At 41.0% G+C, this 18,545-nt stretch overlaps 1 protein-coding gene and 2 pseudogenes across 1 annotated transcript, besides 2 other annotated features; 1 reads left to right on the top strand and 2 right to left on the bottom strand.

The window, feature by feature from the left end:
• Positions 210 to 960, top strand: CENPPP1 (CENPP pseudogene 1; annotated as a pseudogene).
• Positions 3,012 to 4,174, bottom strand: HNRNPA1P21 (heterogeneous nuclear ribonucleoprotein A1 pseudogene 21; annotated as a pseudogene).
• Positions 5,409 to 9,380, bottom strand: CCR8 (C-C motif chemokine receptor 8). Its single transcript, NM_005201.4, has 2 exons — positions 9,260 to 9,380; positions 5,409 to 6,771 (listed from the first exon to the last, which is right to left on the bottom strand). Exon 2 carries the CDS (start codon positions 6,755 to 6,757, stop codon positions 5,690 to 5,692), a length of 1,068 nt encoding a protein of 355 aa, NP_005192.1. The 5' UTR covers positions 6,758 to 6,771; positions 9,260 to 9,380; the 3' UTR covers positions 5,409 to 5,689.
• Positions 10,709 to 10,798: an enhancer, noted in NCBI's record as "active region_19701". NCBI's record gives its function as "activates an Ori minimal core promoter by ATAC-STARR-seq in GM12878 lymphoblastoid cells {active_cell/tissue: GM12878}" and the evidence as "EXISTENCE:reporter gene assay evidence [ECO:0000049][PMID:35858748]".
• Positions 11,149 to 11,238: an enhancer, noted in NCBI's record as "active region_19700". NCBI's record gives its function as "activates an Ori minimal core promoter by ATAC-STARR-seq in GM12878 lymphoblastoid cells {active_cell/tissue: GM12878}" and the evidence as "EXISTENCE:reporter gene assay evidence [ECO:0000049][PMID:35858748]".

Below are 18,545 nucleotides of genomic sequence, written 5' to 3'. Positions count from 1 at the left end.
CAAGTGTAGGCACTGCTTAGAGATAGTTATGGCAATGTGTGCAGGGACATAATACCCCTGGAATATTATGTGAATGTGAAATTCTATATGCTGGGTCATGGAGTCCCTTCTTGCTCTCCCACCTCCCCCACCAAGCTCAAGAGCTGGTTCAATAGGAGTGCACCCTGGCTTGATGTGCTTGGGAAGATGCCCATAGCAGAGCTACTTACACCCTGAGAAGAGACCTCCAGAGTCCAAAAATTTCAAGAAATATACCAATTTCTGAAGGATGGCAGCCTTCAAAAGATCTAGGAAGTAACCTTAGACATTTAGAATCAGAACTTCCATTTCTAAGTATGCTTACCGACATCAATGTAAGAAATTACAGTCTTCTTGGTATCCATGGGGAATTGGTTCTAGAACCCCCGGAAGTACAGGAGGATGTTCAAGTCTCTAATATAAAATGGCTTAATATTTTCACATACTCCTTTATACTTTAAATTATCTCTAGATTACCTACATTACCTAATACAAGGTATTTGCTATGTAAGTAGTCATTATACTATATTTTTGACTTTGTATTTTTAAAAAAAATAAAAAATACAAAAAATATTTTCAGTGGTTGGTTGAATCCATGAATGTGGAATTGCTGATACAGACTGTATTCCAAGAAAACAGAGGCCTTAACCACTGAGATGACAGAAAAGAGTACAAAGGTTGTACAAAAACACAGATTATCAGGAAATTGCCACGGGGTTAGATTTCAACTTGTATTTCAGATTCTGGAAATTAAGAATGAGGAATTTGTCTTTTGTTATTGCTGATCTCAACATAATAATGGAGCTCACAGAATATTCAGAATTAAGTGAATTTATGTCTAGAGCAGAAGAAAAAAGAGAACTTTTTATGTTTTTCAGAAGCCTACACTTTTTTGAGGGATGGTATAAATATCATAAGCACATATTAAAACATTTTAAGAAAAAGCCATTTGGATGTTTTCTCAAAATGATTGGATTCAAGGCCATTAGCCTTGAAGAGTGTGTCCTCTGTAATTGAAATTACATTGTTAAACCAGAAAATAAAAGATAAAAATTATTTTGAAATCTGAAATCAACCCTTTGTATGCTCTATAATGGAATCCCACAGAATATTTTACCTAAAAATGATTTTGTCTTTGTGGCAATAAAATCCTCTCTCTCTCTGTGAGAAAAGAAGAGCCCAAACTAAATTCTGCTTACAAAAGAATATTTAAATAACATTAAAATATAATAATATAATATTAATATATAATATATTATAATATTTAAATATAGGAGAGTTGTTTGGTTTAAAGTGAAAGAACATGGAAATACACAACATATACACTAATCAAAAGAAAAACCAGTGTGGCTATATTAATGCTAAGCATAGTAGATACTAAGACAAGAAGTATTACTGGAGAGAAAGAGGCATTTCATAATGCTAAAAGAGTCAATTCAATAAAAAGTCATAACAATACTATTTATGCATTCACCTAATAACGTAGCTTCAAGATATATACTGCAAAAATTTACATAATTAAAATGAAAAATAGACAAACTTCCAATCATAGTTAAATATTTTAACATACAGGTTGAATATCCCTTATCCTAAATGCTTGGGATCAGAAGTGTTTCAGATTTTGGTTTTTTGTTTTGTTTCGTTTTGTTTTGTTTTTTAGATTTTGGAATATTTGTGTATACATAATGAGATATTTTGGGGTTGGGACCCAGGTCTAAACACAGAATTCATTTATGTTTTATATATGCCTTATACACATAGCCTGAAGGTAGTTGTATTAGTCAGGGTTTTCTAGAGGGACAGAACTAATGGAATATATATATATATATATATATATGAGTTTATTAAGTATTAACTCACATGATCCCAAGGTCCCACAGTAGGCCATCTGCAGGCTGAGGAGCAAGGAGAGCCAGTCTGAGTTCCAAAACTGAAGAACTTGAGTCTGATGTTCAAGGGCAGGAGGCATCCAGCACGGAAGAAAGATGTAGTTTGGGAGGCTAGGCCAGTCTCTCTTTTCACATTTTTCTGCCTGCTTATATTCTAGCCATGCTGGCAGCTGTTAGATGGTGCCCACCCAGGTTAAGGGTGGGTCTGCCTTTCCCAGCCCACTGACTCAAATGTTAATATCTTTTGGCAACACCCTCACAGACACACCCAGGATCGATACTTTGTGTCCTTCAATCCAATCAAGTTGACACTCCGTATTAACCATCACAGTAGTTTTATAAATTTAATTTAACTTATTTATTGAGACTGAGTCTCATTCTGTTGCCCAAGCTGAAGAGCAGGGGCGTGATCTCTGCTCAGGGCAACCTCTGCCTCCCAGGTTTAAGTGATTCTCCTGCCTCAGCCTCCCAAGTAGCCAGGACTATAGGCACAAGCCACCACACCTGGCTAATTTTTGTATTTTTATTTTTTAAGACAATTAAATCATTTATTAATTACACATGATAATGGATGATACACAAGCTTCATTCCCATCTATAATTTTACCTGGTGCCATTATTCAATTTAGATATATTGCATAGGATGTGCCAACAATCATATTTATAACCAATAATTACATGATTTTGCTTGGGTAATCTCTTTCAGTGGTGAACTTCAGGTCACAACAATAACCATCAGTTCAACTACACCAAGGTTTCTGAAGACAATGTCTTCTCCACCCAAGCAGTTTGTATATAAATTCCAAATAGAACCTTGCATCAGCCTGAAAGAATTCTAACTTCACACTGCTGGGGGAAATTTACCAAGATGGCTTCAGAGTAGACTAACCTTACACAGCACATTAGAAAAGAAAAGACATTTATTCAGCATCATGATCAGACTATTACATTTAGCAATCAACAGCATGGGTGCAAAAAAAAAAAAATCTACATTAAGACCCTTTGTTGGAATGCTTTACACTTTCCACAGAACAGAAACTAAAATAACCGTTATACAATTAGTCACAAATACAGTCCTCAAGATTTTTGCTCATACACATAAGTATTTGTCTAAAACATGTCTTCTTTGTAGCAGCTAAGCCCTGCCACCACTATGCTTTGTTGAGTTCACAAATCTGTTGTAACCTGTAGCTTCCCTGTCACTTCTCTGGCTCTCCTCTCCTGCTAAGCTTTGTTTCCTAATTAAAATCTTCTGCCACTGCTATAGCTACTGCTGCTACTGGAACTGCCATAGCCACCTTGGTTTCATGGTTTGGTAAAGTATTGGCCTCCGCCACCATAGGGACCAGAGCTTCTGCCTCCAAAGTTTCCTCCCTTCATGGGCCCAAAATGTGAAGACTGATTGTTGTAATTGACAAAATCATTGTAGCTTCCACCACCTCCAAAACTGCTTCCATCATTACCACATCCATTATAGCCATCCCCCCTGCCACCATATCCACCACCACCATGGCTGCCACCAAAGCCACCACGACCACTGAAGTTTCCTCCACCACCAAAGTTGTCATTCCCATCAAAACCACCTCCACGACCACCACCAAAGTTTCCAGAACCACTTCGACCTCTTTGGCTGGTTGAAGCACGAGCCATCTCTTGCTTTCACAGAGCTTTCCTAGCTTCACAGTTGTGGCCACTCACAGTACAGTATTTCTGAATGACAGTCTTATCCACGGAGTCATGGTTGTCAAAGGTTACAAAGGCAAAGCCCTTTTTTTTGCCACTGCCTCAGTCAGTCATGATTTCAATCACTTCAATTTTCCCTTACTGTTCAAAATAATCTTTTAGGTGATGTTCTTCAGTGTCTTCTTTAACGCCACCAACAAATATCTTTTTCACAGTTAAGTGAGCACCTGGTCTTCGAGAATCTTCTCTTGAGATGTCTCTCTTTGGTTCCACAGTTCTTCCATCCACCTTGCATGGCCTTGCATTCATGGCTGCATCCACCTCCTCCACAGTGGCATATGTCACAAACCCAAAGCCCCTGGAGCGCTTGGTGTTTGGATCTCTCATTACCCATGCAGTTCGTGAGCGTTCCCCATTGCTCAAAATGGCTCCTCAGGCTCTCATCAGTTGTTTCAAAGGTCAACACTCCAATGAAGAGCTTCCTCAGCTGTTCAGGCTTTTTAGAAGACTCTGACTTAGACAGGACGGCAGTGAGAAGAGAGAATCTAACGGTGCTTCTTCAATGGCATTTACAGGCAGAAAGGTTAATTTTTGTATTTTTAGTAGAGATGGAATTTCACCATATTGGCCAGGCTGGTCTTGAACTCCTGACCTCAAGTGATCTGCCCGCCTCAGTCTCCCAAAGTGCTGGGATTACAGGGGTGAGCTACCGTGCCCAGCTTGTGGTTGTTTGGCACCATCATCTTTCCTGACTCTGAACTTATCTGAAATATGCCATATATCTTGTTGCCAACACTTGGAACACAACGACTAAAGACATAGTTGTGCATGCCTGGCACAACCTCTGCCCCGTGATTTTGTCTACTGATGATGTTGAACTAGGGGTAACTTTGAAGGATTCTGTATGTCAAGTGAAAAAAAAAAGTCTGACTTCCTTACATATGCAAAAAGTATACTTCCAGAGTCTACAGTAGGCTGAAAGAAGTGGATATTGAAGTTTTTGACATCAATGAGGCTGTTATTCATTGACTGATGGTGAAACAGCTGAAATGGTTCTGAATCAAGGTGATTCAGATATTGAGTAAATCATTGATACTACTGATAAGCAATCATTTTCTTACACTTACTCACACGTAAGTACTTAAAAGTAAAAAATATGACGCACCATTAATAGTGAAAAAACGTGTTCATGGTAACTAGGCAGCAGTAGCATCAGCAGAATACCTGTATCAGCTGTTAATAACAACAATCAATAACGGCAAGTTTTCAGTCTCTACTTATGATACTGAGTTTTGATTGAAAGGTTACTGTCCACTATATATTTTTTATTTTTTTCCTGTAGTTACATACCAATATATTTTATTTTATTTTTATTTTTTATTTCTTACATGAGAAGAAACATCAGACACAGTTGAGGGATCAGGAAGTGGGTCCTCCAGGGAAGATGAGGCATTGTGTTTGATGGCTTTTAAACGTCTCTTCTAGAGGCATCTGCCTCATCAACAATGGTTTTTGTCTAGAAGTCTCTGTTTGATTTTATAAGCTGACATAATTTCTTGTTCTGTTATGAATGCATGCTGCTGTAGTCCTTCCATAAGCCTGTCAAATATTTTCACCATGTCATCTACAGGCACTTTTTATGCAGTATTAATAGCATCATCTTCATTGTCACTATAATCACAATCACCTTGATTCAGAATCACTCCAGCCATTTCACCATCAGTCAATGAATAGACAACTGGAGCCTCATCATTGATGTCAAAACTTCAATATCCACTTCTTCCAGCCTACTGACAGTCTCTGAAGGTATATTTTTGCATATGTAAGGAGGTCAGACATCTTTTTTTTTCACTTGGCATACAGAATCCTTTAAAGTTACCACTTGTTCAACATCATCAATAAACACAATCACAGGCTTGATGTTGTGCCAGGCATGCACAACTATGTCTTTAGTCATTGTGTTCCAAGTGTTGGCAACAACATATATGGCATCCTTCATGCTGAACTTTTTTTGGAAACCTTTCACACCCACACCTTTGCTCACTGCTACTAGCATGCCATTCAAGAAAATGTTTTTTATATTTAGTCTTCATTGATCCTCACAAAATGTAGTCTACGCTGGAGGAACGGGAGGAGTGCTGCTGGCAGGATGATGACTTTTCACAGCTCTCCCTAGGCATTTGTCTTCCTAGGTAGTTGAAGATTTGGCTGCAACTTTTCTGAAATATTTCTGAGAGGTGTTTCTTGAACTTCTCCCCAACAAAAGCATAGATAACAGGGTTCACACAGCAGTGAGTAAAGGAAATGATTTCTGTGACATGGGTGGCATAAGTCAGCTGTTGGCTTATGCTACATCCATCCAAGATGTGCATACTGTGCAAGGAAGTGAGGAAAAGAACCACGTTGAATGGGACCCAGAAAAGTAAAGATGCAATGACCACAATGAGCACCAACCTGATGGCCTTGGTCTTGTTGTGGTTTTGACACCTCTTCAGCTGGTGCAGGATTTTAATGTAGCAGAACATAAAGATGGTGAATGGGATCAACAAGCCTAAAATGTTCATTTTGAAGTTGGTGAAGATCTTCCACTTCAAAGTCTGTTGATTGTAAAATGAATAACACTGTAGAACACCATCTTCAGAGGCCACTTGGTAAAACACTAGCAATGGGATGGTAGCCATAATGGCGGTTAGCCATACTGCCAGGCACAGCGTTGTGCCCATCCTGATCGTCCTCACCTTTAGGGCATACACGGCATGGACAACAGCCAGGTACCTGTCCACACTCATGAGGGTGATGAAAAACATGCTGCTGTAGAAGCCAATGTAATAAAAGCCAGACACCACTTTGCACATTACAGTCCCAAACACCCACTGGTCCAGCAGATAGTAGGTCTGAAAGGGGAAGGAGAAGACAAAAAGCAGGTCAGACAGGGCCAGGTTCAAGAGGTATACATCTGTGATGCTCCTCAGCTTCTTGCAGACCACAAGGACCAGGATGACCAGGCTGTTTCCCAGAAGACTGAATACAAACAGGAGGCAATAAAAGACAGCAAGGAGCAACTTGCCATTTGTCTGAATAAGTTCCGCATCACAGGGGCTTGAGAAGATATCAGGGTAGTAGTAGTCGGTCACTGTTGTCACACTGAGGTCAAGTGTATAATCCATCAAGGCAGCGGGACCTGGTCACAGAGACACATAAAAGACATTCACTCCTTAAAAACATTTTTATTTTTTAAAAATTAGGGGGATGTTATGGACTGAACTGTGTCCTCCCCAAATTCATGTGTTGAAGTGCTCAACCTCCGGTGTGGGTGTGACTATTTGGAGTGGGTGAGACTATTTGGGCCTTTAAAGATGTAATTAAGGTTAAATGATAGACCGGGAGCTGTGGCTCATGCCTGTAATCCTAGCACTTTGGGAGGCCAAGGTGGGCAGATCACCTGAGGTCAGGGGTTCAAGACCAGCCTTGCCAACATGGCGAAACCCCGTCTCTACTAAAAATACAAAAATTAGCCGGGCATGGCGGGTGCATGCCTGTAATCCTAGCTACTCAGGAGGCTGAGGCAGAAGAATCACTTGAACCGAAGAGGTGGAGGTTGCTGTGAGCCGAGATCACACCACTGCACTCCATCCTGGGCGACAGAGTGAGATTCTGTCTCAAAAAAAAAAAAAAAAATTAAAATTAAAAAAAAAAAAAAAAGGTTAAATGAGGTTATAAAGGCAGGGCCCTGGCTCTCACAGTGACTCACACCTGTAATCCCAGCACTTTGGGAGGCCAAGGTAGGCGGATTGCTTGAGGCCAGGAGTTCGAGACAAGCCTGGCCAACAGTGCAAAACCCCGTCTCTACTAAAATTACAAAAATTAGCCAGGCATGGTGCCACATGCCTGTAATCCAAGCTACCTCGGGAGGCTGAGGCACGACAATTTCTTGAACCCAGGAAGCAGGGGTTGCAATGACTCGAGATCAAGCCACTGTACTCCAGCCTGGGTGACAGAGTGAGACTCTGTCTCAAAAAAAAGAAAACAGAAACAAAACCAAAAAAGGCAGGGCCCTAATCTGATAGAACTAGTGTCCTTAACAGAAGAGAAAGAGACACAAGAAATTTTGCTCCCCTTGTGCATGGAGTAAAGACCATGTGAGGACACAGCAAGAAGGCTGAAATCAGCAAGCCAGGTAGAGAAGCCTCACCAGAAATCAACTGCATTGGCAGCTTGGTCTTGGACTTCCAGCCTTTAGAAGTATGTTAAACAACACTTTCTGTTGTTTAAGCCACTCAGTCTATTGTATTTTGTTATGTAAACCAAAGGGAGTCAGCTGAGATGAGAAAAGCCAAAACTTACAAAGAAAATGTAAATACCCATAGTTCCATCACCTAGAATTAGCAGCTGCTAACATATTCTCACAATGCTTTGGGTTATTTTTTTTTCCTTCCTTCCTTCTTTTTTTCTCCCTTCTTTTCTCCCTCCCTCATTCCCTCTCTTCCTTCCATCCCTCTTTCTTTTTTTATTTCTGATGCAATAGAGATGAAGCTAATGTTCCCTTTAACTACACAACTTATCCCCATAACAGAAACAACAACTAAAACCAATTTGGTATGTATCATTCCAAACAATTTCCCCCTGTACTTTTACATATTTATATATATCCATAAACAATATATATTTTTGTGTGTTTTAACTTACATAAATGATATATTGTTTTAACTTACATAAATGATATATTGTTTTTCCCTTTGTATTTTGCTTATTGTTTTAGAGATATATCTGCATGATATTCATCAGTTTATTCTTTTAATTGCTTTCCTAAGCACCAGAAAAAAAATAACTTTATAAATGCAATAGAAAAATGATCCCAATTATACTAGCAATGAAAATTACTAGCATTACTAGGAATAAAACTAATAAAAATGCAATTCAGTTACATAAAAATTATAAAACTTGACAATTCTTCTCAAATTGATATATACATTCAATGCAATTTCAATCCAGACATATTTTTCCAAGGCATTTGTTTGCTTTACATTCAGACACCCCTCTCCACTCTGCTACTTTTCTATGATTTGAAAGCACAAGCAAGCAAGCAAGCAATTTATTTATTTTTTTAGAGACAGGGTCTCACTATGTTGCCCAAGCTGGAGTACAGTAGTTATACGCAGGTGTGATCTCACACAAAGCCCTGACTTCTGGGCGCAAGCAATCCTTCTGCCCCAGGCTCTTGAGTAGCTGGGACTACAGGCACCCACCAGCAACTTCTTTAGTCATATGAAAGTTTGCTCGCTGGCTTCTTTCCTTAAGAACAGCACCCAGGTGTCCTTCAGTTACCTGATAGAAGCCCTGTACCCAGCACAAGGACAGATCTTCCCAGATGCCTGGTATTATAAAGGATCTTCTCTTATCTACCTTCCCACTCTTGTAGGAGTTTTCACTCTCTCCTAAAGGCCTGCAGAGAATATGGCACGGTTTGCTCTCCTCAGCCAGAGCATGGGCAGCCACTAAGACACATGCATGTTTGTGGGCTCTGAGGAAATGCAAAGATTTAAAAAAAAATTTTACTTCTTGTGCTAGACCTCTGAAATTTTGGTCTTCCCTTTGCCTATCCTCTAAAGATATAAAAATGCCCCTGCCTACTCATGCCCTTCTTCCCCAAGGATGCTTGTAGCACATACCTTAGTGACAGCCTTTGTTCTGGAGGTTTCAGTGTTGCCAATTCCTTCTTCACAAAGTCTGTATCCTCATGTGAGTGCAGCTCAATGAGCAGCAGCCTCTCTGGAGGTATCCTCCCACTACAAACAGCAGATGGAGAGAAGGCAGTCTCTTGAGGGCTCCACCCTCACACCTAGTCACCTAAAGGGAGGCAATGAGGGTTAAATGAGATCGTAAGGCTGAGGCCCTAATTCAATAGGACTGGTGTCTCCTAGGTAGAGGAATACACACCAGAGCTCACTCTCTTGCCTCCAGGTGCTCAGAGGAAAGGCCATGTGAGGACACAGGGAGAAGGCAGCCATCTGCAAGTAAGGTAAATAGGCATCACCAGAAACCAGACTTGTGGGCACCTTGGTCTTCTAGCCTCCAGAACTGTGGGAAAACAAATTTCTGTTGTTTAAGCTACTCAGCCTGTAGTATTTTGTTATGGAAGTCCTAGCAGACTAATACAGGGGTTAATGGGAATTTTCTGTGTTGTCTACCTAGATTTTCTGTAAACTTAAAACCTCTAAAAAATAGTCTATTAAAATTTTTAATTGAAATCAGTATTAAAATGAAATCATAATTCCATTATTATTTTGAAGTTATACAATTTATACCAGGACTGGCTTTCCTCCATGGTATGTAGCATACACAAATGTGTGTGTATGTTGTATGCATGTACATATATTAACTCTTTCAACAGGAATGCCATTTGAAAATCACTTTAAGTCAGTTTCCCCTATCCCAGGAGAGTGAACATGAGTCCCAGAATTGTTGGGAGGAAATGACAGAAGTTCCAGAATCTCCTCATCTCCAACCCACTCATTCCTGGAGAAATGCAGTAGAAATATCTGCTGGATGCCAGGTACGGTGGCTCACATCTGTAATTCCAGCATTTTGGGAGGCTGAGGCAGGAGGATTGCTTGAGCCTAGGAGTTCAAGACCAGACTGGTCAACATAGCAAGACCCCATCTCATACGGTTTGGCTCTGTGTCCCTACCCAAATCTCATCTTGAATTATAATCCTCATAATCCCCATGTGTCAAGGGCGGGACCAGGTGGAGTTAATTGGATCATGGGGGCAGTTTCCCCCATGCTGTTCTCATGATAGTGAGTGAGTCTCAAGAGATCTGATCTGATGGTTTTATAAACACCTGGCATTTTCCCTGCTTGCACTCACTCCATCCTGCCGACCTGTGAAAAATGTGCCTGCTTCTCCTTTGCCTTCCACCATGATTATAAGTTTCTTGAGGCCTCCCCAGCAATGCAGAACTGTGAGTCAATTTAACCTCTTTCCTTTATAAATTATCCAATCTTGGTCTTTCTTTATAGCAGTGTGACAACGGACTAATGCATCATCTGTACAAATTTTTTAAATAAAATTAGCCAGGCATGGTGGCATGCACTTGTAGTCCCAGCTACTTGGGAAGCTAAAGTGGGAGGATCACTTGAGTCCAGCAGTTTGAGGTGAGCTATGATTGAGCCACTGACCTGTCTCTAAAGAAAAAATAAAAGGAAATATCTGCTGGTACCTGAATTCATACCTCGGCAAATTCCCCTCACCATCATTCATGTTTTGACGCAGTTTGGGGAAAACCCAGTTCCTTTATGAGAGTTTTGTATGTGATAAGCAAAGATCAATGGTGAGCCGATGGAGAACTCAGGGCCCTCAGGTATTACTAGTCCATGTCATGATGGTGGGAACTATGGGACCGCCTCATCAGTGAGGGCAGGTGTGGGGGAAGCCACCTTCCCCTCCAAAGCCCAGTTAAGCAAGGCCTGAGGGACTAAGGTGGAATTCCCCCCAAGCCCAGTTTCTAGTGCAAGCTGATCTAAACCCCAAACAGTCTCTATCTTCAGTTCCTGAGGATTCTTTTATCAGCTGCTCCTCCATACTTGGCACAGTGCTTAGTGCACAGCAACTTCTTAATAAATAGTTGAACAGAGAGAATGAGGCAAGGTGGAGATGTGGAGTCTGGTGAAGAGTTGGAGGAAAGGACTGAACAGCCAGAATGGAAGGATGCTCCTCTTTTTGTGTTTCCTGAGCCAGATCTGAGGGCTGGTGTGGGCCCCTGCAGGACTGGACACTTGCCTGCTGTCACCTGTGTATTTGTTTCCTGTGGCTGCTGTAACAAATTACCACCAACTTAGTGGCTTAGAGCAGCAGACGTGTATTCTCCCCCAGTTCTGGAGGCCAGATGGCTATAATCCAGCAGGGCTGCCTCCTTCTGGGTGCTTGAAGGGCGAATTGTTCCTTGCCACTTCTGGCTCTTGGTGGCTGCCCCAGCAAACCTGGGGCTTGTGGCCACATCACTTTAATCTCCACCATCTTCACATCTCCTTCTCCACTGTGTGTCTGCATCAGATCTCACCCACCTCTGATTTATGAGAACACTCATGATTGGATTTAGGATCCGTCCAGGTAATCCATGATAATCTCCCCATCTCAAAATCCTTGACTTAATCACATCTGCAGAAGCTCTTCTCCCAAGTAAAGTAACATTTACAAGTTCTAGGAATTAAGACTTCATCTCTTTGGTTGACCATTATTCAACCCACAACATCCTGACTCGGAAGACAGACAAACTGTGACATAGTTAACTGACAAGCCTTGGTTCCTCACCTTTGGGCCTACATCAGGGATTCAGGCATTCTATGGGAAGGCAGCAGAAACCAAACTACAAAACCAAAGTAGTGTGACCCCTCCAGAGCCAATGGCCTCTCCAAGTCTACCTTCTGCTGCACATTCAATGGGTTCTGAAAATGCTGGATCAGATCCATTGGGGACATCCCATCTAAATTCAATTCTACTGGGTCCCTCCAAAGGTTCAAAAGACTGTATTTCACTTCAGAGGGAAAAAGAGACTAGCAGCATATTTGACCTCCTTTCCTCCAAAATAAAGAGAAAGAAAAAACTGTATTTAAATAAACCCTAAGTGTAAATGTAGAAATTACTACTATCACAGATATTTGTCATAGAGTATTAGGGCAGAAAATGGCCTCAGGTCATACAGCTGATGTCTCTCTCCCTCTCTTTCTTTCAAAGTAGTAATATTTAAGTCCAGAGAGGCAAAGTGGCTCACCCAAAATCACACAGTAATTTGGTGGTAGAGCCAGAGCCAGAACTCAGGTCTTCCGAGGCACAGCTGAGGGTGCTTTTCTTACTGCACCACATTCAAAATTCTCGTGCAATAACATTATGAAGAGTTGTGGATAAGACTAGAGGAAGTCTTTCTGTATTTTCTATAGTTTTCAACTATATGTCAGTCCCTCAGTGATTTGTAGGGTAAAAATGCATTTGCTTAACGAAAAGTGTTAGACAAAGCCAGAGTTTAAGAAAAGCTCGTGTGTTATTAATAGTAAAGCCAGTTTTGCTGTCTATATAATTTAATTTCCCATATGGATTACAAAAAAGAGTAACAAGAAACAGATTTTCTTTTTTACTACTATTTATTTCCTTCATAAGAGTAATCATGACAATTGTCAGAATACAAAAAAAGGTATCATCATAATTTTGATTTGAAGGGTTGAATATGGAGAAATGTGGTTAATAACGTATTTTTAGTTGCATTTTCAGGAAATTCATATTACCTTGTGTGCCAGAATAATTGATTAGATCTCTTAGTGGTTTGTTTTGTTTTGTTTGAGACGGAGTTTTGCTCTTGTTGCCCAGGCTGGAGTACAATGGTGCAATCTTAGCTCACTGCAACCTCTGCCTCCTGGGTTCAAGTGATTCTCCTGTCTCAGCCTCCCTAGTAGCTGGGATTATAGGCGCCCGCCACTACACCTGGCTAATTTTTGGTATTTTTAGTAGAAACGGGGTTTTACCATGTTGGCCAGGCTGGTCTCTAACTCATGACCTCAGGTGATCCACCCGCCTCAGCCTCCCAAAGTGCTGGGATTACAGGCATGAACCACTGTGCCCGGCCTTTCTTTTTTTTTTTTTTTTTGAGACAGAGTCTTCCTCTGTGGCCCAGGCTGGACTGTAGCAGCATGATCTCAACTCACTGCAGCCTCCACCTCCCAGGTTCAAGAGACTCTCCTGCCTCAGCCTCCAGATTGGCTGGGACTACAGGTGCATGCCACCATGCCCGGCTAAATCTCTTAGCCTTTTGGTGGTGCTTTATTCCCAGAATTTATCTTCTACAAACATGCTCACCACCTTTTTCCAAGGCTACAAGCACTGAAGTGCCTAGCATATTCTCAGAACTGCTTTTGCCATTAGAAGGGATAAAAAAATGAAATTTATGATTTCCTCACTTAAGGAGCTTAGCAATCATGGCACTTTCATCACAGGAGTCCCAGGAGGTGATGGTTCTCTGAAGAATGATGAATAATGAAAGGAAAAAGTATCACTGTGAAAACCATGTAGAAACCCAGAGAAATCTTTATGATTAAGGTGGCATGTATACTATGACTGTCTCTTTGCGAAGCATGGATGAGTGTGGGTACATCCAGAATGAAATAGGCAGAAATTAAAACAATCTTATATTAGGTTATTTCTTTTTATTCTTAAAATTCTCTTTAATAAAGGCACGCTGTCATTTCAATTACAAGTTTTTAGGAAATAGAAAATTGCTATCAAGCACTAATTCAAAGCAAACACATTTTCATGTTGTGAATGATTTATTGATTAAATTGGAGATCAATTTAATAAGCCACACTTGTAATTCTCTCCCATTGACTTGCAAAAAGCACCTGCATTGCCAAAAGTGGTACACAAAGGAAGCCTGAGTTTATCATTATGAAGTTGGGGAGAAAAAAAAAATATGAGGCCAAAGTAGTGTGAGTCCTCCAGAACCAATGGCCTCTCCAAGTCTATCTTATGTTCAGTACCTGGGCCACATGAAAAACTCTTAAGGGGAAACTAGGAAGAGTTCGCCTCTGCCCAGGAAAAATGCTCACAAGTTAAGGGTAAACGTAGAATGTCAAGATACTTCTCTTCTTCACTCCTGATAATATTTACCCTGTTCCTCTGCATAGAAGAGGGGTTTGTGAAATACTGTTTTATTCCCTCTTTTCTTCTCCATCTTGTTACAAGGCCAAATGCATTCATTACTGTGACAGAGGAATACATGAAGGGCTTCAGGAGCAAAAGGGACTCTTGATTCTTCCTGGGTCTTCAGGGTAAGAATGTGGAGGAGATCAGGGAGCTGGCCTTAAAGAATGGGTGTGCCTTCCAGCCGGGAGTGAAGCATTAAGAAAAGCATTTCTTGGAGTCTCCAGAGCCTTGTCCCAACTGGGCTACCACATTGCTCTGGAAACCTGGGAAAGCCACTAAACCTTTCTGAGTTTTAGTCCAGTGCTACTTTAATGTGTACCCAAATCACCTGGGACTCCTGTTAAGCAGCAGATTATGACTTAGCAGTTCTGAGCCTTGAGATTCTGCACGTCTAACAAGCTCCCAGGTGATGTTAGTGTGGCTGGTCACATTTTGACAAGGCATTAGGATCTTCGTGTGTAAAATGGGAATAAAGCTTTCATGAGGGTTGGGCGCAGTGGCTCACACCTGTAATTCCAGCACTTTGGGAGGCCAAGGTGGGAGGATTGCTTAAGCCCAGGAGTTTGAGACCAACCTGGCCAATATGGTGAAACTCTGTCTCAACAAAAAATACAAAAAATTAGCTGGGCATGGTGGCACTTACCTGTAGTCCCAGGTGCTCAGGAGGCTGAGGTGGAAGAGTCACCTAAGCCCAGGGAGATCAAGGCTGCAGTGAGCCATGATCACACTACTGCACTCCAGCCTGGGCAACAGAGTGAGACCCTGTCTCAAAAAAAAAAAAAAAAAAAAAAAAAGAAGCCTTCATGACTTCATGAGGACATTGTGATTTAATGAGATAATATGTGTAAACATGATTAGGAAAATGTGTTGCTCCTAAAAATACAATGAATTGTTACTGTGGAGATGGTATATTTGAAGGCTTGTCCAATAAAGTGAAAGTGGGATCCCCTATATCTCCACTGCTTGATACCTGAAGACAATGGCCACACCCAGAAAATTTGGCAGCTGAGCCTATGAAAAGTGTCAACTGTGCCAGGAAGACACAGCAGTCTCAATGGCAGGCTCTCTGGAGAAGAAGAGAGCAAAACAAGAATGCTCTGTAATAGCTAACAGATCTGCGTGAGTGTCCAGCAGCTTCCAAAGCTCATGGGGTGGAAGAAGAGTCTGCAGAAACAGGAAGTCCTGCAAGAGAACAAAGACACACACACTTTCCAAACACAGAGATGGGCTCTTCTGATAATTTTCTTTACATTTTCTTTATATTTTAATTAAAATTTTTTGAGATGGAGTTGTACTCTGTTGCCCAGGACGGAGTGCAGTGGTACAATCTTGGCCCAAGGAGGTGGTCTCAAGGGAATGATGAAGATCAGGACATGGCACCCCAAAATATGACTGAAGGAGACCAGAACATGCCACTCCAAATATACCTTTTTTGGCATAAAGATTAATTTTGAGATGATTATTTTGGCAAGCAGGAGAAGCTCTGAAAACAAGAGTAGAAATTGCTCTTTTTGCAAGAGAAGTTTCAATAGATAAAGGAAATCTCCATTTGCAAGGGTGTCTCCTCTGTCTACCAGGAAGAGAAGATGACTCTAAATTACTACAGTCTTATCAATGGAGAAGGCTCCAACATAAATTTCCATAACAAACCTTACCCTTGTTTACCATATTTTTCCTGGCCAACTCCCTATTACTGACCTCCCCAACACCCTTCTTTCTTTGTTTCACTTGAAGATCATAGATAAGCATGAACTCAAAGCCACTTCTTTGAGATTTACTCATTTTTTGTAGGTGTCTCCAGGTATTCAGGAGGTATACACATTATTAAAACTTCTATTTGCTTTCCTTTTATTAATTTATCTTTTGCTACAAGAGTTTGTTTCCACTAAGAACTATGAAGAATAGAAAGAAAATTATTTTTCCTCCTTACAGGAAATTTAAAACACACACACACACACACACACACACAAACACCCACACCCACACACACAGAATTGAACTGAGCTGAAGATGAAAGTACAAACTGTCAAAATTTGTGTGATGCAACTAAAGCAGTGCCAAAAGGAAATTATTTTTTATTTCTATTATTTTTTTGTGACAGGGTCTTACTCTGTCACCCAGGCTGAAGTGCAGTGGTGTGATCTCAGTTCACTGGAGCCTTGACCTCTTAGGCTCAGGCTCAGGTGATCCTCCCACCTTAGCCTCCCTAGTAGCTGGGAGTACAGGTGTACACCACAATACCTGGCTAATTTTTTGTATTCTTTTTGTGGAGACAAGGTTGTCCATTTTGCCCAGGCTGGACTTGAAACCATCTTTGCAAAATTATGACTGAAACAGTAAAAGAGATCTAGCCTAACCGACTCCATCTTTTTTTTTTTTTTTTTTTTTTTTGAGACAGAATCTCACTCTGTTGCTCAGGCTGGAGCGCAGTGGCATGATCTGGGCTCACTGCAACCTCTGCCTCCCAGATTCAAGTGATCCTCCTGCTTCAGCCTCCCAAGTAGCTGGGATTACAGGCTCCTGCCACCATGTCCAGCTAATTTTTGTATTTTTAGTAGAGATGAGGTTTTGCCATGTTGGCCAGGCTAGTATCGAACTCCTGACCTCAGGTGATCTGCCCACCTTGGCCTCCCAAAGTGCTGGGATTACAGGCATGAGCCACCCACCAGGCCCACCGACTCCATCTTGGTTTTAACCTTTAAGCTGTCCTTGCTTCTTCCTGAGTGTAAGCTGAAGTAACTTTGGGAGGAACTTAGTTTATAGTTTAAAACAAAGACTGTAGCAAAGACTTTCCCAAAGCAAACCTCCTTCTTGCCTGGGGACTAGACTGCCTTTGTAGGACTAACAAATTAGCCACAAGATTAGAAATTATAGTTTAGGAGTCATGCAGCTGGAGGCTACAAGATTCTTACCCTCCCTAAACAGTTCCTAAGATCAGTGCTTGAGATATTTTGCATACCCTGCACTTGATGATTAGCTGGGACCATCTGGGTGGATAAACTGGCTCATGTGATCTTGTGGCCCCTACCCAGAAACTGACTCAGTGCAACAGGACAGTTTCAACTTCCTGTTGATTTTATCTCCTACCTAACCAATCAGCACTCCTGGCTCACTGGCCACCAAGTTGTCCTTAAAAACTCTGATCCTCCTTTGGGAGGCCGAGGTGGGTGGATCATGAGGTCAGGAGTTTGAGACTAGCCTGGCCAACATGGTGAAACCCCGTGTCTACTAAAAATACAAAAATTAGCCAGGTGTGGTGGTGGGTGCCTGTAATCCCAGCTACTCAGGAGGCTGAGGCAGGAGAATCACTTGAAAACAGGAAAGCAGAAATTGCAGTGAGCCAGGATCACACACCACTGCACTCCAGCCTGGGCTAAAGAGCAAAACTCTTGTCTCAAAAAAAAAAAAAAAAAAAAATCTCTGATTCTCAAATCCTTCAGTAGATTGATTTGAGTAACAATAAAACTCCAGTGTTCTGCACAGCCAGCTCTGTGTGAATTACTCTTTCTCTTTTGCAATTCCTCTGTCTTGATAAATCAGCTCTGTCCAAGCGGTGGAGAAGGGGAACCCAATGGGCAGTTACAGTCTCAAACTCCTGGTCTCAAGCAATCTGTCTGCCTCAGCCTCCCAAAGTGCTAGGATTATAGGCATGAACCACTGTGCCCAGCCAGGAAAATTTAAAGTAATAAATGTTTATGTTAGAAAAGAGGAAAAGTCTCAGGTCAATAATCTAGGCTCTCATCTCAGGAACCTAGAAAAAATAAAGCAAAATAAACCCAAAGCAAGCAGAAGGAAAAAAACAAAGATATGAACAGAAATCAGTGATATTGAAAACAGAAAAACAGTAGATAAAATCAAGAGGAAAATCTCGTTCTTTGAAAAGATGAATGAAATTGACAACCCTCTACTTAGGCTAACCATAAAAAAGAGTACGTAAATTCCCAGTATCAGAAATGAAATGGAGAATATCACTACAGACCCTGAAGACATCAAAAAGATAATATAACAATACTACAAACCATTCTAAACACAAAAATTTGACAATTTAGATGATATGGACTAATTCCCAGAAAGTACAAACTATCATAACTCACCCAATATTAAATAGTCCTATAATTATTAAGCAAATTAAATTAATAATTTTTAAACTCTCAATTAAGAAACCTCACGGTTTCACTGGAGGATTCTACCAAATGTTTAAAGAAGAATTAACATCAATTCTAAACAATCTCCTCCAGATTATGGGAGTAAACACTCCCCAATTC

Source organism: Homo sapiens, chromosome 3 (genome assembly GCF_000001405.40).
Source record: "Homo sapiens chromosome 3, GRCh38.p14 Primary Assembly".
In the NCBI taxonomy this organism is placed as follows: domain Eukaryota; kingdom Metazoa; phylum Chordata; class Mammalia; order Primates; family Hominidae; genus Homo; species Homo sapiens.
This window is presented reverse-complemented; position numbering and strand designations above follow the sequence as displayed.